Here is a 23,731-nt window from a genome sequence, read left to right on the forward strand (position 1 = left end):
GCTTAGAGTAGCCCCATGAATAGCCAGATTCAAACTCCAACATCCTGGTACCAGGATCTGAGCACTCAACCTGGTCACATAAACTCGGCATGCAAGAGAGAATCAGACAGTGTTTCCCAAAGTGTGTTCTATGGAACCCTCCCCCCAACCTTCTTTTGTTACACCAAAAGAAGGGTTCCACAGTCCAACAGGTTTGGGAAACATTATATATTCTGATTCCTATCTAAAGATTTATAACACTCGTTAGCAATTTTTTTTTTTTTTTTTGAGATGGAGTCTCACTGTCGCCCAGGCTGGAATGCAGTGGCGTGATCTCGGCTCACCGCAAGCTCCGCTTCCCGGGTTCACACCATTCTCCTGCCTCAGCCTCCCGTGTAGCTGGGACTACAGGCACCCACAACCACACCCGGCTAATTTTTTTGTATTTTTAGTAGAGACGGGATTTCACCGTGTTAGCCAGGATGGTCTTGATCTCCTGACCTCGTGATCTGCCTGTCTCGGCCTCCCAAAGTGTGGTTAGCACATTTTTAGTATGAGGATTTTAAGTATCTTTCAGTAAAGAGATCTGTTTGCCTTTATCTATATCAATGTTTCTCCAGTTTATATAATCCCTGAACCCTTTTATCCTTTTTAGTTTCCGTGGAGTCAATGTTCTGTGGAATAGAGTTTGGGAAACACTGTTTTGGTATCTCTACCCTTGCCTGAATTGGGCCAGGTGTGTCTGCAGATCACCAGCCTGCCAGCTATAACCACCCACTCCATAGGTGGTACCAACAAGGTCAGCAGCATGCAGCTTGGGCCCATGGATCAGAGATTACACTCCTATTACTGGCAGGGGCCCATCTAACCCCTGGAGCCTGCAGCCAACTGCCAACCCAGCCCAAAGCTGACCTCGCTTGACTTGATTCCTTATCTTCAGGCACTCTCTGCCTCCCTGGGCTCCCATCAGAACAGCCCAGAAAGCTGCACGCCTGCTTCCTGCCAGAGAGGACATGCTAGATAGAGAGAGCTGGGGTGACAAGCCCAGCTGGAAAGCAAAGTACTTCCCAAAGCAGCACTTAGCAGGGCCATGTGCTGGGGAATCAGCCTTTGCTTGAGCAGAGGCATCCAACAGCTTGCAAGGCAAAGAAACAAACAGCTCCCAAGCACAAAACGCCTTCACAAATGTACGGCGTGTGAAAGAACCCACCTGTCTCTCTGCCACCCCACCCACCCAGGTAACACCCAAAGCAGCAGCAGCAACTGCGGCCGCCTCCACCCGCAACAGCCAAAGTCATGTGAATGCCAAGAGCCTTTGCTTGTCAGCTCCTAAGGACATTTGGCCTAGCACAAAGCCCAGGACAAGAGATCAAGAAATAGTTATGGATGCAAGGGGCCTAGGACAGGGTGAGGTGGATGTGGAAGTGCCTGTGAAATCAATACAGCCTTCTACTTCCTCTTGAAATTTGCTTTCTCGAGCCTCTTTTTAAAGGACCTGGTATTGTCCTTGACTAAGGATCCTGTATGCACAAAGGTATCTAAAACCACGGCCAGCCTAAGGCATTGCTGATTGAGTCCACATGTGTGTATATTTTATTGTTGGGTACATATAGGTTTATGTGAATGGGGGGAGTCGAAAACACAGGAAAAACCAAAATGCAAGGGGTATTAGACAGCATTGCCTGAAAAAGACACTCATTTTCCATGATTGATGATCAAGGTTGGTATCAATGACTGCTTGCGTTTCCCATCTCCACTGCACCCCTGAATAGATGCCCCTTACCATGAAATTTATAGCCCTTTGCTTGAAATGCTATACTCTACAGTAAGCTAGGACCAAAATAATAACTAGAGGGCAAAGCAATTAACCATTTCCCCAGGCTGAAGTTTCATCCTCTTACTGCCTTGATAATTTACTCTGCAAAGTGGCAGGCACCTGGCTCAGAGTCACTCTCCAAATCTATTCAAAAGTCCCTGAATTCTGCTGAGTTTGGTTTCACTGTATGAACAGGACCAAAAACAATAAGGTCTTTGACACCTTATTATAATTATATTATAATACTAAGTTGTATTATAATTATAACACAACTTAGTTTTCCTCCAAAGCTTCCATTTGCTGGGATGCTAGGAGACAGCATGAGCAGTTTTACTGTTTTCATGGAAGCCTTTGGGGGAGCGGACCAAAAATTACATCACTGTGTGCCATTCCTTCGCCACCACATCTTCCTATTTCCACAGAGATCTTGGGGCTCTCAGGCCCCCAGCCTCAGGGTTCTCATGGAAAAGTTGTGGCCATTCTGAACTTTCAGGGGAAATACAAGAAATGGGAACACCAAGACAAAAGGCAGCCAAAATTATATCACAATCTGTCCAATTCTGAACCTATGATCTTATCATCTGCTCTGACCTCTCCTCGCCCCCAACTGCATCTCCTCCTGTCTCCTATTCAGTGAATGGTTCCACCATCTGCCACTGGCTCAAGTCACAAATATGGGGGTTATCTGGGACTTACCCATTTCCCTCATCACCACCCCCATGCCGTATTCAATCAGTCTCTTAAGCTCTGTCACCCTCTTTTCTCCAGCTTCACTGCCATCACTTTTGTTCAGACCACCGTCTTCTTTCCCCTGGTTGAACAAGAGCCTAAGTGTCTCCCTTGCTTTTAGTCTTGCTCCCCTCTGTCTATTCTCCACACTACGGTGCCACAATGACCTTTCTGAAAAACAAATAGAATCATGTCACTGCTGTACTTAAAACCCCTCAGAAACCACTTGTGTTCACCAGGATAAAATTCTAACCCCAACCTTGGTACCCAAGGTCTTTCATGTTGGCTCCCAGGCCACCTCCCCCAGCCTCTTTTCTCACCACTCTCCCCTTCTCTTACCAAATACTAAACTACTACTAGTTCTCAGGACACGCCATGCTCTTTCATGCCTCTAGTCCTTGCACATACTATTTCCACATTCTGGAACAATTTTTCATCTTCTTTCTCCTGGCTAAGTCCTACGCATTCTCCAAGAATCAGCTAATGCATATCTTCCTCTAGAAAACTTTCTGAAGAGGCAAAAAGCCCCTCCTGCCTCCTTACTGTCCCCAAGCTCTTGCATAAAAACATGCTGTTCCTTCTGTCTTATTCTTATCCTTCTTAAATGTGGCAGGAGGTGAAGCAGACTCCTGAGCAATTCCTAACCCATAGCACCTGAGGGACTATCTCCCTAGCCTCCCTTTCCTCTTTCCTAACAGAACCCCAATGTCTTCGGATATCCACCCTCACCCAAATAGCCCCATGCCTCAGGGAAAGCTGACCTTGCCACACTGATTGGGCTGGGGGAAGGGGAATATATATCTCATTTTTCTTCACAATGATTGGCTCAAGAATGTCATGTGACCCAATTCTGGCCAATGAGTTATGACATTTCTTGTCTCTTAAGAGAGAGTCACTGGAGGAGACCAGGTGTGGTGAGTAGATCATGCCGGTAATCTCAGCACTTTGGGAGGCCGAGGCAGGAGAATTGCTTGAGCCTAGGAGTTCAAGACCAGCCTGGGCAACAAGGCAAAACACCATCACAACAAAATTAAAAAATTAGCCAGGTGTGGTGACACACACCTCTGGTCCCAACTACTCGGAAGACTGAGGTAGGAGGATCGCTTGAGCCCAGGAGGTTGAGGCTGCAATGAGCCAAGATCCACATCACTGCACTCCAGCCACCTGGGTGACACAGTGAGACCCTGTCTCAAAAAAAAAAAAAAAAAAAGAAGGCCGGGTGTGGTGGCTCATGCCTATGATCCCAGCGCTTTGGGAGGCTGAGGTCAGGAGTTTGAGACCAGACTGACCAACCTGGAGAAAGCCCATTTCTACTAAAAATACAAAATTAGCTGGGCGTGGTCGTGCATGTCTGTAGTCCCAGCTACTTGGGAGGCTGAGGCAGGAGAATTGCTTGAACCCAGGAGGCGGAGGTTGCAGTGAGCTGAGATCGTGCCATTGCACTCCAGCCTGGGCAGCAAGAGCAAAACTCCTTCTCAAAAAAAAAAAAAAAAAAAAAAAAAAGAGAGAGTCACTGCAGGAGATGGCCTGTCTTCTTCCTCTACATCAAGAATTCTTAGCCTTTTTTTGGTGGGGGGGTGGTGCCAGGATCCCTTTTGTGGTAAGATGAATTCCGTGAACTGCTTCTTAGAATAATATTTTAAAATATATAAAATAAATTACATGTAAACAATTATAATTTAACCACGTATTAAAATATTAAAACAATATATTTGTGGTGTAATAATATATGTGATACTTTATTAACACATTCAATATCAATATTTAATGGCAGGTCTAATAACTACTACAATTTCAAAGTGGGATTGAGTATAAATGATATTTTATGATATATTTGTAATTGTAATGTTATATGAAAATACATATGATTTCTTTTGGTGGCAAAGCCACAGTACACTACTACCACTATAGATGTTGCCTGCATCCATAATTGAAGAAAATGCCACATTTCAGTTAGAGGTTAGTGGTGTAATTCTTTCTCCCACTCAGGTTCGTGGCTCTCCGGGTTTGTCTGTGGAGCCCAGGTAAGAGCTCCCTGCTCTGGACTTTGTACTCTCTGGCTGTGATGGCTGGAACCACTGCAGCCATCTTGCCAGCAACTGGAGGGTGGACCACTATGGCGTTGGCATACCGGAAAGATGAAAAGAACCTGGGTCCTTGATACCATTGCTGGGCCTCTAAACCAACCAGCCCCAAAGCCTATTGACTTCAGTTATGGAAAATAATAAAATGACTTATTGTTTAAGCCCATTTGACCCAGGATTTCTATGGATTCAGCTAATTTACAGAGAAGGAAGAAGGTTTAACTTTATGTCAGAGTCAGTGTCAAAAGACAGAACAAATGGAGCACCTACACCGAGCTCACAATCCAAGTAGAAAGCCCCTTTCCTGACGGAAAGCAATTTAAACTGCCTCTGCTATATTCACAGTGCAGGAGAATACCGATTGCACAAAGACAACGTATGCTCTGAGCCCTGGAGTCAGTGAGACTTCTGGGAGCACCTGTACCTTACCATCATCTTGCAAGCGCATTGGATGGAGGTGAACCCTTGCACAAGGACAGATTGATGAAAACTCTTTCCTAACCACTGTACTTTGAGCACACCTGGAAGCAGTAACAAGCATTCTGAACATGAAAGCTTACACTCTATTGCCCACAGCATGGGGCAAGAACAATGTGGGATACATCCAAAAGCAGTGCTGCTCAAACTATAGTCCTCAGAAAGGAACATCAAACCTGATGATGCGTCTGAAACAGGCACCAGAAACATCAGGAACAGATTGCTGGGCCCTATCCTCAGAGGTTCTGATTCAGCAGGTTGGCAGCAAGCCCTAAAATGTGCATTTCCAAAAAAACTTAGTGTTATGATGAGGTTTTTGGTCCAAGGATCACACTTTAAGAAGCACTGTCCTAGAGGATCCACAGAGGCCCAGAATGACTCCCTCAGCCACATGGCTAATCATATCACTTAAGGAATAGGATCTGGCTTTACAAATTTATTAGGAGTCTGGTGCAGAGGCTGGTGCCTATAATCCCAGCTACTCAAGAGTTCGAGATGAGCCTGGGCAACATAGAGAGACCCTGCCCCCCAGCTCTTAAAAAACAAAGTTCATTAGGTATTAGTAGGCTGAAAAATTGATCTGGTTATCTAGTTCTCTTTGCCAAGTTTGTTTTGAGCCAGGCACAACTCTGCTTGACAGTGGAGTGCTGGAGCTAGCTGATACCAGCTCGAAAGAGCTAATTGTTAAATTTTCAGGAATTTTGCAAGCTGGTTATTATACACAGCCATCATTACAAATTAATTATATACACTTTTAACAAAATAAATTACATTAAAAACAAAGATACTTAGTACTCCTCACTTCCTAATTATTTTACTATATTTTATTATCATCTCTGCTCTTAAGGTTATTTACATCTACTGTATGTATGTGATGAAAAGATTATATGATGGTGTATCTCCTCTTCCCCACTCTACATTCGATGACTCACCACTGGTAGGTTGGAATCAGCCACGGTGGAATTTACACCATGGAAATTGTTGATTGTATTGATTTCAGATAATGATGGAGAAAATGTTAATACTGCAGATTAAACTTAAAATCATGTTGTGTCTGTAACTGTTACACTGTGACTAGTACCAAAAAATCAAGGCAATATTCTTCCAGCATTCAAATACTACCACCTGATTCAGCAAAGAAGTCACTATGTCATTGACTAACAAATGAAATTCTGATACACGTTTGTTGTTTTTCTTTCATTTGACTCCTTAATGGAAATGAAACTATCAACTGACATTCCTGTTGGAATTATCCTCATTTGTTAATGATGTGAGTTCTTCTTTGGCAAATTGGATAGCATTGATTCATAGTCTGATTTTGTCAAATCATGGTTGAATTGAAACCATAGTTATGGCTGGGGAAACAAGATTTCAACAAAGGTCAACAAAAGCACTGTGAGAATCAGTTGGCTGTGTGAAATTTACAATAAAGCATTGTATAGTTTACTCTTCTTTGTAATTTGGGTGCTTCACATCTGTATTAGTCAGATCAGACGGCCATAACGAAATATTATACCATGGATTGGGTAGCTTAAACAAGAAAAAGTTATTTTCTCACAATTCTGGAGACCAGAAGTCCAAGATCAAGGTTTCAGCCAATTTGGTTTGTGGTGAGGGTTCTCTTCCCAGCTGGTAGATGGGCCGCTTTCTCTTTTGTCCTCAAGTAGCCTTTCCTCAGTGTGCATACGCTTGCACATGGGCAGAGAGACCCAGCTCTCTGGAGTCTCTCCTTATAAGGACACTAATCCTTTCAGATTAGGGCCTCACCCTTATAACCTTATTTAACCTTAATTACTTCCTTAAAGTCCTCATCTCTGAATATAGCCACATCGGGGGATAGGGCTTCAACATAAGAATTGGTTGAGGGGGCAGCAGATACAAACATTCAGTCAATAGCAACATCCTTTCTCTCTGTAAAATATCTAAAAATTTATAATAAACAAATGATACAAAAGTTATAATAAACATTTTTTTCTGGAGAGCCAGTTTTAAAATATTAATGATCACCATCTTTTAGTCATCTTTATTTTCTGGACAGGGTAGGTCCTAGCTGATTATTAGGGGGAGGATTCCATTGCCCAGAGTGAGCAAAACTGGATGAGCAACTCCCTGGCAGAATTCTGTCTTACCAGGCTGATTTTGTTCGAATGTGCTGCCTGTAACAATAGTATCTTTCCCACGCTTGTAATTCGTCCTCCTGCGAGTAGCTTGGTGTACTTCCCTAGGCAGAGAGTTGTCCTGAAAGTGGCCAAACTTGCTGACCCAGGGCCACACCAACCCTCCCAATTGCTCACAGTCTGTCCCTCTTTCCTTACAAGTTTACCAGGGCACGAAAAGCAGGCAACTTCCTACTGAATCTCTCCACCAGAACAGGACTGGGGAAGGGACCTCCCTTTCTCATCAGAGGTCCAAGGCAGCAGTACAGCATGCTAATACCCAGAGGCAGGCAGTGCTACAGTTGGGCAGTCTGGTCAGTGGTGACAGTGCAGGCCACACAAGGCCTTGAGTTGGAGGAGCAGAGGGTCTTTCCAGAGCAGTGGAGATGATGTAGGACTGGACTTATTCACAAACTCGATGACTCTCAGATATGCTGGAGAGGAGAGATCAAGTCCTGCAGTTGCTCAGGTAGGGCTATCCAGCAGCAACTTTCTGATCTAACTATTTATGAGATCTCATTTGCACCTCATTTGTCAAGCTTCACCTTCATTCTGCAGATGAGAAAGCTCATTTTAGGAGAGGAGATGACTCAGCCAAAGAGGTCACATGGTGAATCAGGGTCCAGTGGTGTGGATGTGTCTGTTTCATTCAGCCTCTGCTCTGGGCAAGCTTTCTCCTTTAAATGAGCAGAGGAAGCATCAGCTCCGTGCATAGAAACATGCAGAGCCAGCTGGCATGTCTGCGAATCTGCATCTGTGCTTCTCCCAGACCTTTCAAAGGTTCTGGGGATGAGAGTGCAGGGTGAAGGCACTCCAGAAGGACTATGCTGGTAACTTGCCCAATGGCCCACTGTCATCGCCTTGACTCATCACCCACCTGTTTCATTTGTCTCTGTCTGGGAGCTTAACTAGAGTCCAAGTTCCTATAGGCAGGGAACATGATATGCATGGGCTCCTGAGCCAGAACTGTGTTCAAATATTGATGCTGCCACTTACTAGCTATGCCACTGGGCAAGTCCATTAAATGGAAAAGGAAAGATGCAAAAATTCGTTGAGGGCCAGGATGTGGTAGCTCACACCTGTAATCACAGTGCTTTGCGAGGCCAAGGATTGGCCTCCCAGATTGAATTCCAGATTGCTGAGGCCAGGAGTTCAAGACAAGTCCTGCAATATAGCAAGACCTGTCTCTACAAAGAATAAACAAAAAATTAGCTGTGCATGGTGGCACGTGCCTGTAATCTCAGCTGCTTGGGAGGCTGAGGCAGGAGGATCCCTTGAGCCCAAGAGTTTGAGGTTACAGTGAGCCATGACTGCACCACTGCACTCCAGCCTGGGTGACAGAGCAAGACCCTGTCTCTAAAAAAAAATTTTGTAACATAATGAATGCCTTTTATAAGTTAGGATTTGTTTTACTTGTAAATGACTGAAACCCAACTCAAACAGGATTAAGCAAAAAAAAAAAAAAAACAGTTTATCGTTTCAGCAATCAAATGATCCTGGAATAGACCTTATAGGCTTCTGGTGAGGCTTGAGACCTTGTAGACTTCCAGGGGGCTGAGCAATGTCCTCAGGACCCATTTTTGCTCTCTCCATCTCTAGCCTCCACTTTTTCGGTGTTGGCTCCATTGTGGGCTTTCTACTCAGGGTAGAAAGGTGGCTGCCTAATCTCCAGTTGTGTATACATGTGCTGCATATACCAACTGTCAAGCTCCCATCCACTGGTAAGGAAAACCAGTCTCTTCCCCCAAAACACTCACACAAATCCTAGGCTTCACTTTGGACCAATCTAGGTCATGAGTTGCACCCCTGAACCAACGGCTGTGGCTAGGGGAATCCAGAGCACTGGTCAGCCACGCTTGAGTCACTTGCTCACCCCCTGGAGTGAAAATGAAGCCTGGTCCAGAGCTCACAAACTACAAATGCGGTATGGAGAGGTTTCACAAAGAAAAAGAAAGAAACTATTACTGAAATAAGGTACAATGGATTCTGGGTAGCCAAAAAGACAACAAATGTCTGCCACACCTACTATCTACCATGCTCCTGGTACTTTTTTTTTTCATTAAACTCTTGCAATGGTATAACTTAACCTTTCAGAATCACAGTTTCCCCTTTTTAAAATGAAGATAATGATACCTAATAAGACTAGCTACTACTTATCTGGTACTTTCTAGGCACTGGGCTAAATGCTTTATGTATTCCAACTCATGTAATTATTTATATCATAAGATTATTGTTGGAAATAAATTAAAATAGATGACATAAAATGTCCTAGGCATAATACCTGATACATAATAGGTGATAAATGTTTAAATGCATTTTATTTTATCAGTCACTCAAGCACAGTATTAAGCACCTAACAGATGCTTATTTTAAAAGATGAACAAATTAATCTATGTATGAAATTATTTCTGCATTTACTTATTTATACTCTACCTAGTTGCACAAAGGATTTGATATACAGGATATGCATTCGATAATATAGCACAATATAAACAGGTAAATAAAATCAGGACCAAGGAATGTGTGAATTAGAATAGAATAATAAGATAAGGGGAAAAATAAAATGCATTAATGGATGTCATGGATTTAGTTTTTGAATTTGAGGCTTCGAGTTTCCTGGCAACCAAAGAGAAAAGGGAAAACCCGTTGGCTGCAATACCACAGTTCAAGAATGCAAAATAAAATCATTCCTCCAGGAAGATAATTTAATGCATTGGCTTTTGAGATAAAGGAATTCTTGTTGGGCAGTTGGGGTAGTGGGGACAGGGACAGATACTGAAAAACTGTATTTGAGGTAAAAACAGTAGTTTTTTTTAGCACAGGAAGTAATTGGCAAAAAAGCACCTAATCTTTTGTGGGGCAAATGCCTGATGTACTTTTGATAACAGAATGAGGTGCCACTTTAGGCCTCTGATACAACAATCAAATCCCTTGAGGTGAAATGCCTCCCACAGCCTTGGGGGGGATTTCCCTCCAACAGACGCCATATTCAGAGGGGAGGCAGGAAGCTAGTCTCCAGAAAGAAGCATACCCTGCAGACCTGACTTCCATTCTCAAGAAGAGACCCAGGAGCTGTTCTCCCTGAGGCCTAAGGAGGAGAAACCAAGGGGGTTTTCACCTGGCAGCTCCCCTAGGCAGGATAACTCTTCTCAGCTCCAAGGTCCCTGCCTGCAGCCGAGAAAGAGTTAATTGCAGTGACCCAAATCTGCAGTCCCATTTTCAGCATGCTGAAAATTACTTTTTAATCCTGGCTTTTAGGGCTTGCCTGGGGAGCCATCTGCTGCACCCTCCCCCACCTCGGGCACACAGGATTACTCCCACCTGCCCGCCTAACTTGCTTTTGTGGGGCCTAATTCTGCTCCTGCCCTTCCAGATCATAGTAATTTGGAGGATGACAGTTTCATTTGTGGCGTAGGAAGAGAGCAAAGATTTTAAAACAACAAAAAGCAAGGTCTTCCAGCCCAGATTAAATAGAAAACAATTTGAAAGGTCAGAATCCACAGAGGTACAGGTCTGGGATAATCAGACCCCCAGCCTCAGCCATGCCATGCCATCTGTTGCAGGCATCTGGGGCTGGGCAATGTAGCACTTGGTTTTATTCTGGGTTCCAATACTTAGGGGTCATAGGGTTCCAAAAGTGGGTGATGCACCCATGACTCAGCTTGCTCCATCCAAGGAAATTGAGCAGAAGTCCCTAAACTCCCACTGGAACAAGACCTAGAGATTATGCCCTAGTCTCTCAGTCCTTCAGCACCTCTCTAGACCAGTTTAGGGAAGCCCCCTACTGTGTGCCTTGGTCTGCACCCTCAAGGACCTAACTGTGCAATGGAGGAGAGATGAGTCATAAAGAGTACCCAGTGGGATATATGCTACGATGGGGCCTTTGACCTGAGCCTTGAAGAATAAGCATTCACCAGATAGACAAGGTGAGACAGGACCTTCTAGAGAAAGGGAATTGCATGGACAGAAGCCAGAGATGGGATGGTGCTTCTGAGGAGGGTACAGGAAAAAAGGGTCTCACCTACATGGCTGGTGGAAGTTATCAGTTCCATGGGTACAACCTCTGAGAAGCCAATCTAGCAATAATCTTTGAAATTACAAACATACATATCCTTTCACCCAGAAATTCCGCTTCCAAGAATTCAACTAGCAGATATACTCCCACGTATGCAAAATGGCATGCTTACAAGTTATTCAATGCAGCATTGTTTGCAATAGCAAAAGGTTGAAAATGACCTACACGTCCACCAACAGGCTGGTCAAATGAATTCTAGGACATTCATACAAAGAATACTCTGCAACGGGAAAAAGAATAAAGTAGTTCTTTATGTTCTGGTAGGAAATCATCTCTAAGAGTGTTGTTCGTGATAAAAAGCAAGGGAAGTAACCAAATGCAATGTGTGGACCTTACTTGAATTTTGATTCAAACAAAACAGCATTTGTTGAGAGAGAAAAAAAATCAAGGAAATCTGAATGCTGACTAGGTAGCTTATGGTATTAAAGAATTATTGTTTTCTTTTACATGTGTAGAGGTTGTGTTTTTTCTCAGGTAATTTTCTTTTAGAAATATATGCTGAAGAATTAATAGATGAAATTATATGATGCCTGGGATTTGATTTAAAATAATCAGGGGGAGAGGGAGAGGAAGTGAAGATACAAAAAGATTGGCCGAGTGTGGATCATTGTTGAAGTGGGTTGATGGCTATATGGGGGGTTCACACTGTTTTTTCTACTTTTGTGTATGTGTGAAATTTTCCTGCAATAAAAGCTTCTTAGAAAGCAAGGTGCAGACTGGTGTATTTAATATGCTGCCACCAAAACTAAAAAGAGAAGACTGGCCGGGCACGTTGCCTCATGCCTGTAATCCAGCACTTTGGGAGGCTGAGGTGGGCGGATCACGAGGTCAGGAGTTCGAGACCAGCCTAGCCAATATGGTGAAACTCTGTCTCTACTAAAAATACAAACATTAGTCGGTCGTGGTGGTGTGCGCCTGTAGTCCCAGCTACCCAGGAGGCTGAGGCAGAAGAACCACTTGAACCTGGGAGGCAGAGTTTGCAATGAGCCAAGATCACGCCACTGCACCCCAGGCTGGGCAACAGAGTGAGACTCTGTCTCAAAAAAAAAAAAAAAAAAAGAAGAGCAGACCCTCACCAAACAAGTGTATATATATATATGTGTGTGTGTGTGTATATATATATATATATGTATATATATGTGTGTGTATATATATATGTGTGTATATATATGTGTATGTATATATGTATATATATGTGTATATATGTATATATATATGTATATATAGAGAGAGAGTGTGTGTGTGTATATATAATGTATATAATATATATATACATTACGTATATATGGTATATGTATGTATATAGATATATTGTGCATGCATGTGTGTGTGTATGTGTGCGTGTGTGTATGTTGAATGAATGAATGTCCTCCTGGGACCTATCAGGCTATCTTTAGGAATACAGTTAGTTTAAAAAATAAGTATTACATAATGTGAAAAATGTGGGAATACAAAGGAGGAAATGAATCATCTTTAAGGGGGAGAGGGGCTGGTTGAGGAATGTTGCTGGAGAGGAGATGACGTCTGAGCCGCATCCTGAAGGGTGTCAAGGAGCTTGGCAGGTGAGGAGTGTGAGTTAGGAGTCAAGCATTTTGTACTGAGGAAAAAACAAGAGCAAAGGTCAGAAAATTTAAAGAATAGAGTATGTTTAACTAAAGACACTGCTTTTGTATTATTATCAAATCATACTATTGTCTTATATGGAGAACTTTAGCCACGCCTCTTCAATTCAATTCAAAGGGATTTATACATCCACACATACAAAAACAGTAGGAACAATATACTTGCCTATTTGCTTATATACTTATAACAAATCTCTGGAAGAAAACATGCAGCTGCTAAAACTGTTTGCCTCCAGGAGGGTAGACTAGTGGCTGGGGGACAAGAGTAGGAAGGAGATTTTTTACTGTTTTATTTTTTGTATCTTTTGAATTTGGACCCAAGTAAATATATTATCTTAAACAAACAAACAAAAAAGGCCAGGTGCAATTGCTCATGCCTGTAATCCCAACACTTTGAGAGGCTGAGGCAGGCGGATCACTTGAGGCCAGGAGTTTGAGACCAGCCTGGCCAACATGGCAAAACCCCATCTCTACTAAAAATACAAAAATTAGCTGGGCATAGCAGCATGCACCTGTAATCCCAGGTACTTGGGAAACTGAGGCAGGAGAATCACTTGAACCAGGAGGTGGAGGTTGCAGTGAGCAGAGATCACATCACTGCACTCCTGCCTGGGCAACAGAGTGAGACTGTCTCAGAAGAAGAGGAAGGAGAAGGAGAAGGAGAAGGAGAAGAAGAGGAAGAGGAAGAAGAAGAAGAAGAAGAAGGAGAAGGAGAAGGAGAAGGAGAAGGAGAAGGAGGAGAAGGAGAAGGAGAAGAAGGAGGAGGAGGAGGAGGAGGAGGAGGAGGGGAGGAAGAGGAAGAGGAAGAGGAGGAGGAAATTAAACAGAGTGAGACTATCTCAATAGAATAAGAAGAGAAAGAAGAAGAAGAACAAATTAAGCAGAGTGAGACTGTCTCAATAGAACAAGAGGAAGAAGAAGAAGAGGAAGAAGAAGAAGAAGGAGGAGACAGAAGGAGGAGGAGGAGGAAACTAAAATTAAACAGAGCAAGACTATCTCAATAGAAGAGGAAGAAGAAGAAGAAGAAGCAGCTAAAATTAAAAAAAAAATAAGATTTGGAATTACAGAGAACAAGCCTGAGTAGCTTGGGTAAGTTATTTACCTTCTATGTCTATGAATTTCTTTTCCTATCCATGGAATGGGGACAATGACATTAGTATCACCTCATAGGAGTGCTGTGGTATTAAGTGAAATAATGTACTAGATAAATGTATTAAATAATGTATTTAAATACTAATGTACTACATTAAATAACATAATAAATTATTCACAGAAGGCACCTTTATAAACACCAGCTGACATTAATGCAAAGCCAGGACTCAATCCATGACTCTGATCCCACGTTCCAAGTTCTTCCCGCTCAAAAGGTAGTCCACCTGACTAGCCCTCAGGCCAAAGATAGCAAAAGGATCAGTGGGATCTCTCTGAAGCTTAGCAGCAATGGCCTTATGGGTTTTTATTGTCCATGGTCAGCTCTGCCAAGAAGCACACACAAACATTTCTCATCAGCTCATGGATATTTTCACTGGCCTTGTCTGCTCCATGAAACAACCTTTGGAGGTCAAATTGATGAAAGGTGTGGTCTTGCCTGTAAGACCAGGATCGAGTCTTTCCCTCTGAGACAAGTGGTTCTTCCCAGAGCTGTTACCAGGCATCTAGGTCCACTAGCAGAGAACCCTGGCCTAGAAGTCAGAAGGTTTGTGGCCCAGGCATCGGAGTCAAGAGATCTTAGACACTACTGGCAAGGCATATAGCCTAAGGTGTATACCTTAACCTCACTGGAGCTCAGTTTCCTCATCTGTAAAATGGGAATAAAAATGCCTGCCCCAGCTATCTCTTAGGGCTGATATGAATAATTAATGAAAGAGATATGCGAAATTAAATTTTCTAATTTAGACTCTAGATTATTGGGGTCTTCTTCAATCCTTTCCACCCAGGCAGAGTCTTTGGTTCTACCAATATGTAAGTTTTAAAATGTGATCAAAGGAAAGCCAGAGCTATCACCTTGAGGTTCCTGAATCTGCCCTCCTCTCCTCTATCAAAGAGATTATAGCACACACAGGCGGGTAGGGAGGATCCTAAGCACCATAAATACATGTAGGCAATATCCATGTCTTTCAAATGTTTGTCCTTGGTGAGAGCTGCAGCTGTCTTTTAATATGGCTAAATGAAGTAGGGGAAAATCAGAAAAATGCAAATGAGATCCTTATTTTAGGCAAATCAATCTCAGCAATGCTCATATCTGATCAAGCTTATCTTTAGGACGATCATTAGGATAATGGATTAATGTGAAAGTTTATTTTTACCCTGTCTGCTCTCACTCCTTGAAGACCCTTCAGACCTCATCTTGATTCTGCCAGACACCCCAGGAGGACGGGAACTCCTTACCAGTCAGTTTAGTCCCCAGCATTCATGTTGGGGCGGACTCTGGCAATCATAGGGTTCAGCTCACCACAAGGTCACCCAGCACCACACTGCCCCCACCTTTCATCATGTGACCTGAGATAGCTGCAGCTACCCTTGGACTCCAGGGGTTTTATTTAGGAAGTCCCAGAAAAAGATAAGAAAGATATGTGGGAATTTCTTTACAAGGAGGCCTTTGAGAGACCTGAAGTGTGATAAAGAGATTAAGAGAATAAGCCTTGAAGTCAGGCAGCCCTGGTTGAATTCTAGCTCTCTTACTTACTTGCTATGTGACCCTAACTTCCATTAGCCTTGGTTTCCTCATCTGCAGAATGGAGATCTTATTTCCATCTACTTAACTGGGGTGTTGTGAGATCTAAATGAGAATTGTGTCCATGCAGCACCTAGTGAAGTATCTGACATGGGGTAAAAATGAGAGCTACTGAGCACTTAATAAAGCACTGTCCCAAGTTCTTTCTATGTATTAATTTAATACCAGCAATAATCTTATAATATGGGTGTTATAGCCCCCTTCTTTAAAAAAAAAAAAAAAAAAGGAGGAGGAAAAGGAAGGCCTGAGAAATTGAGTGACATAGCCAAGGGCCAAGATTTGAACCCATGGCTCTAGAGCCCACCGCATCACTCCTACCCTACAGCTCTTGCCAACTTGCTGGCAAAAATGGAGAAGGGTCTTTTGCTCGCACGGAAGCTGGACTTGTAGTGAACCCCTCTAGAATTCCATGTAATTAGAAACAGAGGGCACCAGTTCAGGAAGAAAGAAGCAGGTAAAGGAGAAGGCACAGGGGCCCAGAGCTTTCACTAGGCAGGAAAGAGAGACAGGCAGCAGGATCCTGTCCACAAGCAGCCATCCCAGAGCCATTTTCTAGAAGGGACACCCCCTACGCAGAGCCCCTGACACTGCTGTCCTGAGCCTGAAGCCCGTCTAAGGCTTCTCTTCCCTGCATATTGAGAAGGGGGCTGGAGAAACATCCTGGGGCTCTGCAGAGATGAAAGTCACGGCACACCCTCAAAGCCTTTCTCATTTTAAGCATTAGATCACTTTGTATCAGAGCCACTTGGAGATGAGAAAGTGGGAGTCCGCCTTGGGGCAATGGTATCTGAGTCTGAGTCCAAAAATGTTTGCCTATAGATGTAAAGAAAAGCCCAGATTATTAGAAACAACATAGCAATTAAGACAAAAGATTAGGAAATTCAGGCCTGTTTCAAGTTCCAGCTCTAACACTTACTAGGTCCATAGCTTTGAGTGATCATCCTAATCTGGTGCCTCAGTTTTATCTTCTGTAAAATGGGGCTAATAATACCTACCTCATAGGATTTAGGGAATTAAATAAGAAATATATGTACAGAGCTGAGATAGGGTCTAGCATAGAGTAAGTGGTTAATGAGTAGTAAGTACTTATTATTATATGTGGTGGTTTTAAATTCCTAAAAGACAAAAAAAACATACATTCAGTTGACCATGTGTATGTGGAATGGGCAATGTGCGCATACTTACATATAAACATGCATTTATACGTATTTCCCCAGGCACATCCCTGAAAAACCAGTATATACTCAGACATTCCCTTGAATCAAAATCGAGTCTATTCCACTTCCTCCTCAGTCCAGTGAGGTGTTCAAGACATCAATTATTATCCCCATTTTAGACATCAGGACCCCAAGGGACTTAGCAGCATCTAAGTAGCCTGCTCAAAGATTCAAGGCTAATCCAATGTCCTCCGTACTCTTTTCTTAGCCTTCCTGACAATTTGTGTTCACTGCCCCCTCTAATTCTCTGTCCAAGCTAAAAGACCGTGAATTCCACACACACACCTCCCCCCCGCACCCCCCCCCCCCCCCGGCTGCCGGCAAATGCAGCCTGATTATCGGAAGGAGATGCCTGAGAAGAGTGAAAGGAAAAAAGAAAGAAGATAGAGGGAGATGGGGTAAAGGGACATGTGGCCTCGTTCTTCACTGTCCCAAATTCCCTTTTCAAGGGCATAAGCCTGCACCCACCTCTTCCAACCGCCCCCTCCATCCTTGTCTCTGCCCCTGTGTCCCTGTCTTGTCCTCCCAAGGGCTACAGCAATATTTCAAATGTTCCTCCCACAGCTGGGTGCCTGCGCTGGTTTCTGGGCTCCTGGCATCCTGAAGCCCCACCCTGATGCTGGCTCCACACGTGCCTGTGCACATTCAGGGCTGTGAAGGGTCAGTGGGCCACGTGAAATTCCAGGAAGGAACAAGGCTTCAGGGGTGCTGTCCTTGGCTGGTTCCTACAGCACTTCCTTCCTTGTACCCCGCAGAGCCTTTGGCATGTAGAGTCACGTGTTCATCTAAGTACCACTGATGGTTTTGATTTTCTACCTGAAGAGTGCACAGAAGCTGGCCTTGGACAATAAAAGCAAAGGCAAAGGTGCCCGGAAGGAAGGATCAGTGTGAGGAGGGTATGGAATGGTGCATGCAAAGTACCAGCACAGCGCCTGGCACAGTGTAGACTCCTCACACAGAGGGCTCTCCTCCCTGCCCCCAAGGAGATCTCAGAGGCCCCCCTCCTGCCAAAGCGGCATTTCAACTCCTCGCATACACTTGGGCTTCAGTCCATTACACAAGGAAATTTGGCTTCATTTATATAAAGGGGCTAATTACCACATGAGACATAATTACAAGACAGGAAATGGATTTATAGATGCCGTCAGTGGGAGGGGAAGTTGCAGCGGCTGCTTGGACTGCTCCGTGCTCCTAAGGGGCTAAAGCTGTCCCCAGCGGACAGGATTCTTGCCCTGGGAGTTCTTGCTTTGCTGAGAAATGTGCTCTTAGAGAGGTCGGCAGTACTACAGATTTCTGGAAATCAAATCTAGTTCTGTCTCTGAATTTGTTCCACAATTGGCAATGTATTCCCACAGGTTCTCTTCACACAATAAAAATCATACTTAAGAATGTAGTTAGTCTTAAACATTAAAAGAGAAAGATAAGTCTTATGATAGATTCCAAAACTAGCCCAAAGGAGAAATGCTGGGTAGAAACTGTACAGCACTAGTATCTGCTCTTCTTTGAGGTTAGATGAACCCTGAGAAAGAGCTATATTTGCCAGACACGGTGGTGTGCACCTGTAGTCTCAGCTACTTAGGGGGCTGATCGCTTGAGCTGAGGCATTCAAGGCCAGCCTGGGCAGCACCCTTTCTAAAAGGGGGGAAAAAGAGCTATATGCCTGCTAATTGACCTAATAAATAGTCCCTTATGATTTCATTTTTCACCTTAAAACCATATATCTTAATTTAGACACACATACACACACAGAAACAGACAATAGGCAGAAGTGAAAAGGCCCTTCCTCATTGATAACCAAAGATAAGCAAATTAGTACTAGCTAATATGTGGGGAGCACACTCTGTGCCAAGCACTGAGCTTTGCTGTCTTATTTGTTCATCTTCACAACAGTCCCATGAGGAGGGTGCAGTCATAATCCTCAATTGATAGCTAAGGAACTGAGACTTAGGAAGGTCAACCAAGGTGGCCAAGTCCATACTGTAAATGCCAGAACAAGCGTTTGCACACCACTTGTCTGAACACAGAGCCTGGATTCTGAAGAACAATGAGAACATTTCTCAAATTAACAATAATATATTCTCAAGAATCTTAAAAATAAAAATTTTTCTATTTAAAAAAAATTTTTAAGAAAAGAATCTTAAGACTATCACTCCCGGAGACCGAGCATTTGACTCCTGATCACCTATCTTTATGAAATAATCTAAAAAAATGGAAAAAGTTTAATGCACAAAGATCTTCTGAGCAGAGTACCTTGATTATAATGGGGAGAAATTGGAAACTAAATGCTTAGCAATGAGGGAGTGGTTACATAAACTATGGTACATCCATAAATGGAGTATTATTCAATAATTAAACTGATGTCGCTAAAGAGTTTATAACAACGTGGGCAAAAGTTTATGTTACGTGGAATAAAAATAGCAGGATTCAAATATGTATGCGTTACGATCTCTACAAAAAAAAAATACGCAAAGAAGGACATCTAGAAGGAAATGTACCAAAATGTCAGTTTGTCTTTTTTTAAGCATAATTATGACTGTAAGAAACCATTTTCTGTCTTTTGTGACAGCTCTTTATTGTTTGCACTCTTAACAGTGTTCCCCAGGCCCTGCCCACGCCTGTGAGTACTTTATGGTGAGGTCTTGCTTATCTTTCCTCACAGATGTGCATTTCAAAGAACCACTATCATCATAATTTAACATTCCTGTAAGTGTTCACACAATGGGCTTCCCTTAAGCAGAAGATATCTGTGCCAAAGTTGCGTCCTTTGTCCTGGCTGATGACATCAGGTACAGAGTAAGGGACCCTTTTAAGACCAAGGAAAGGAATGCCTAAGGGTCAGGGCTACAGGTACTATGAGTCTCCTCCATAGCTGAATGGTCACTGGTTCATTTATTCATGCACACCACAAACTTGTGCTGCGTGCCTACCATGTGTCAGGCAGCACCAGTTTGGGTTCTGAAAATGTAGAAATAAAAAAGCCAGGCCAAGCATGGTGACTCATGCCTATAATCCCAGCACTTTGGGAGCCTGAGGTGGGTGGATCACTTGAGGACAGGAGTTCGAGACCAGCCTGGCCAACAGAGTGAAACCTTGTCTCTACTAAAAATATAAAAATTAGCCAGGCTTGGTGGCACACACCTGTAATCCCAGCTACTCAGGAGGCTGAGGCAGGAGAATTGCTTGAACCCGGGAGGCAGAGATTGCAGTGAGCAGAGATCACGCCACTGCACTCCACCGTGGGTGACAGAGTGAGACTATGTCTCATGGAAAAAAAAAAAACCTGTCAAAACTTTGCCATGTGGCTCTAAAAGCATCTCTGCTGATCACCTAGGAAAATCCGAAGACGCCAAGGCCAAAATAAGTAACTGAGGCTCTGTGGCAAGTCATTGGCTGGAGAAAGAACTGGAAACCAAGTCAGGGCCAGGTACGATGGCTCACGCCTGTAATCCCAGCACTTTGGAAGATGAAACGAGGGGCATTGCTTGAGCTCAGGAGTTCAAGAGCAGCCTGGGCAGCATTGTGAGACCCCAGTCTCTACAAAAAATAAAAAATTAGCTGGGCATGGTGTACACGCCTGTAGTTCCGGCTATCTGGAAGGCTAAGGTGGGAGAATTGCTTGAACTCGAGAGGTTGAAGCTGCAGTGAGCCGTGATTGTGCCACTGCATTCCAGCCTGGGTGACAGAGCAAGACCCTGTCTCAAAAAAAAGAAAAAAAGAAGCCAAGTCACCCAGCACTTTGCACTGGGCAGAAGGGGATACGAATTCTCCTTGCTGGTCTAAGATAGCAGCCTCTTTGTAAAAATAACAGTAATAATAATCAGTTCTGTTGGTAGTTTCTGGTGCCTGTGGTGGAATGACAAGGACACTAGCATAAGTGGCTTGTCTTCCATGGGCCAGGCTTGTGCCTAAGACTGGTCTTCCTAACACAGATGGTCCACCAGGGTGGTTGATAGGCTTCGGTCTGTCTAGAAGCACCATGCTGCTCCTGTGCTTCCAACCCAGGAGGACGCATCACACCCCCACACCACAGGGAGTTCCACGCCAGGGCAGCGTGAGAATCAGACAGACCTGGGTTCTGCCCCCTACTCAGCCACTTTCTAGCTGGGTGGCCTTGGGCAAGTTTGCTGCCTCTTCTGAGATATAAGGTCCTCAGGAGAGGGGTTGTTGTGAGGAGGAAATGGGATAATGAAGGAAAAACCTGAAGCCACAGCATCACTTGAGGCATGTTCAGCTTGCTCTTGGAATTTGGTTCCCTCATTCTCCCCAAGCCAGGTCAGAGGCCTCCAGGCCACTGTCTCCAAAGGCCCCTCTCAGACAAGAGCACTGACCCAAGGCCTCTCTCGAGCAGTCTGCTCACCTGAACGGCCCATGAGAGACAGTCTGCCATTTTAGCCTCTAACACCCACTGCTTTCTGAAGCAACAAGGCCTACCTTCTAAGACACCTGCATTAGTGGAGAGATATCTGCCATCCTGGCAAGGCAGCTGGGACCCCAGATTCAGACCGCCAAGAGTCTTGGGCCTTCAGTAGTCGGAGTCCTGTAATGAGACAGAAGCAAGAGCTCAAAGGCTCCCGCGATGCAGCCTTGGCCCAGAAGAGGATTTCCCTGTGGAAAACTGCTGGAGTGCCACCACAAGGCTGTGGGACAATAGAGAAGGGCCCGGGAGGAAGGAGTGGAGAGAAAGGGGGAGAAACAGAAGGTAAATCTCTGGAAGGACAGTTGGGGAGGAGATACGTGTATGGGCTTCGGGAACAGAGGAAAAAGGGTTTTGCTTGAGTGACCTTGGCCAAGTGTTTAAAATCTGTGTTTGTTTGGCTGCCAGAATGGAGGGAGTGACACTTTCTCTTGTGCAAAAGGTATGCTCTGGGCCCAAAGATTCAGAGGGGTGTTCCTAAGGAAGGCCAGGTGGCTCACCAGACAGGCATTTCCTTTCATCAACTCACCACAGTCCAGAATCTGTGCATGGCCTGAGAAGCTCCCAGACCTGATTTATTGGCATATGGATGGTTCACGTCTCAGGAGTTAGAGTGTCCAAGAGCACAAGAACTGGAGCATAAATCCCAGAAGGCCAGGGAGCAGACTTGATGGGTACAATGGCTCAGGGAGTATCTCCCACCCAGAGGCTTGGCATCCCAGGGACCTATGGAAGTGTCTTGCTTGTGAAGCTTGGAATAAGAGTCTATGACTTGCTTTATTGATCTTAATCAGGGTCCCCTGTCTAAGTGGCTTGTGGGCCTCTCACCATCCTTCCACAGCATTGCCACAGAAAGGTAGGTCTCTATTTGGTTAGCCTCCCTGTGTTCTCTTCAGTGTTTGGGCATCACCAAGTTCTTTGGGTTTCCTTTTCCATCCTACCAGGCCAACCACTTGCCTTCTGTTCTCCCTGCCTTTCCCAAAAGAATGGAAAGCAAATTGCTTGGTTTCCACTTTGTAATTACACTCCTTTTGGGAATGTCTCCCTGGTCACCTTGAATGGCACTGGAGGTAGCGGGGAGGGAGTCTCAAACTCTTAAGTCACATCTTCACAGACTGATTTTTATTTCACTGTAAGTGGCTGTTCTCACCCATTGTGTAAAATCTAAAGAGTCTCGTTCTCAAATGGAAACTTTATTTTCCATACCTTCATGCTCTGGGTAGGGGAGCCCTCATTATCATGTATGGATAACATTTTCTTCACAGGGTGGAGGTGAGGATTAAATGAGATAGTGGCATGGGTGTGCATTTGTATTTGAGTTCTTAGGCCAATGTCTCACAAATCACTCAATAAATCACCATCCTACAACTCCTACCCACCACATGACCAATATGTGAGAAGGGAAGAACAAACACAAGAGCCTCAGCATCTTAGTCTTTGCCAGAAATAAAGCTGGGCTATGGAATAGGAAGGAAGAGGAAGCTGAGGAACAGACATACAGTTTTGATATTTGTCCCCGCCCAAATCCTCATGTTGAACTCTGATCCCCAATGCTGGAGGTGGGGCCTGGTGGGAGGTGTTTGGATTATGGGAGTGGATCTCTCATGGCTTGGTGCTGCCTTTGCGATAGTGAGAGTGAATTCTTGTGAGAGCTGGGCATTTAAAAGTGTGTGGCACCACCCTTGCCACTCTCCCTCTCTTGCTCCTGCTCCCCCTTTGGCTTCCACCATGATTGTAAGCTCCCTGAGACCTTCCCAGAAGCCAAGGAGATCCCAGCACCATGCTTCCCATGAAGCCTGCAGAACTGTGAGCCAATGAAACCTCTTTTCTTTAAAAATTACCCAGTCTCAGGTATTTCTTTATAGCAATGCAAAAAACGGCCTAACACAAACAGTTAGTGAAAGAGGGGAGCTACAGCTCAAATTTTCTCTATTCAACACAAGATCTTTATTGCGTCTCTCCCCCTGGGCTAGACACTGTATTACAGCACCCGTCCTTAAGAAACATAATGAGGTCTAGACACATCAAAAATCCAACTATGTAATCTAAGTGTCAAGGTCTGTGGATATAAAATGGGGTCCCATTTACTTTTATTGTCCACATGACAATGACTTGGGCTCCCACCTCATCCAACCTTCCTTACAAAAGGCATTTCCCAGTTATTTGGAGCAGTCCCCAAGGGCATATCTTATATGCTCTTAAAACAACCCACTTATTTACAATCACCACACAACATCCATCATATTCTCCCTCTCCTATTTCAGGTGCCCTGTCCCATGTCACAGCCCTGGTAGCATCGGAGGGAGATTCTTAGATGCCCCTTCTGAAATCACCAGTGATCTTCGGAGGGTACCATCTCCTGATGCTCTCAATATCACCACTATCTAGAGCCCCAGATCTATGTCGGTGTCACATTTTGTCTCCTGGG

The 23,731-nt window shown here is 44.1% G+C and overlaps 1 long non-coding RNA gene across 1 annotated transcript in view, besides 3 other annotated features; it reads right to left on the reverse strand.

Moving 5' to 3' along the window:
• The window catches only part of LINC01992 (long intergenic non-protein coding RNA 1992), a 62,784-nt gene that overhangs the window by 38,521 nt on the left and 532 nt on the right, over positions 1–23,731 (reverse strand). The window contains exon 2 of the long non-coding RNA NR_146896.1: positions 21,321–21,426. This is a non-coding gene — a long non-coding RNA (long intergenic non-protein coding RNA 1992). The remainder of the gene's footprint in view (positions 1–21,320; positions 21,427–23,731) is intronic.
• Positions 7,659–7,953: an enhancer, noted in NCBI's record as "tiled region #4282; K562 Activating DNase matched - State 5:Enh". NCBI's record gives its function as "activates a minimal TATA promoter and a strong SV40 promoter by Sharpr-MPRA in K562 cells {active_cell/tissue: K562}" and the evidence as "EXISTENCE:reporter gene assay evidence [ECO:0000049][PMID:27701403]".
• Positions 9,181–9,310: an enhancer, noted in NCBI's record as "active region_11916". NCBI's record gives its function as "activates an Ori minimal core promoter by ATAC-STARR-seq in GM12878 lymphoblastoid cells {active_cell/tissue: GM12878}" and the evidence as "EXISTENCE:reporter gene assay evidence [ECO:0000049][PMID:35858748]".
• Positions 19,326–19,882: a transcriptional cis regulatory region, noted in NCBI's record as "candidate enhancer chr17.1404 targeted for multiplex CRISPR interference". NCBI's record gives its function as "positively regulates NLK gene expression with high confidence in K562 cells {active_cell/tissue: K562}" and the evidence as "EXISTENCE:mutant phenotype evidence [ECO:0000015][PMID:30612741]".

The sequence above is a fragment of the Homo sapiens genome, chromosome 17, assembly GCF_000001405.40.
Source record: "Homo sapiens chromosome 17, GRCh38.p14 Primary Assembly".
NCBI lineage: Eukaryota > Metazoa > Chordata > Mammalia > Primates > Hominidae > Homo > Homo sapiens.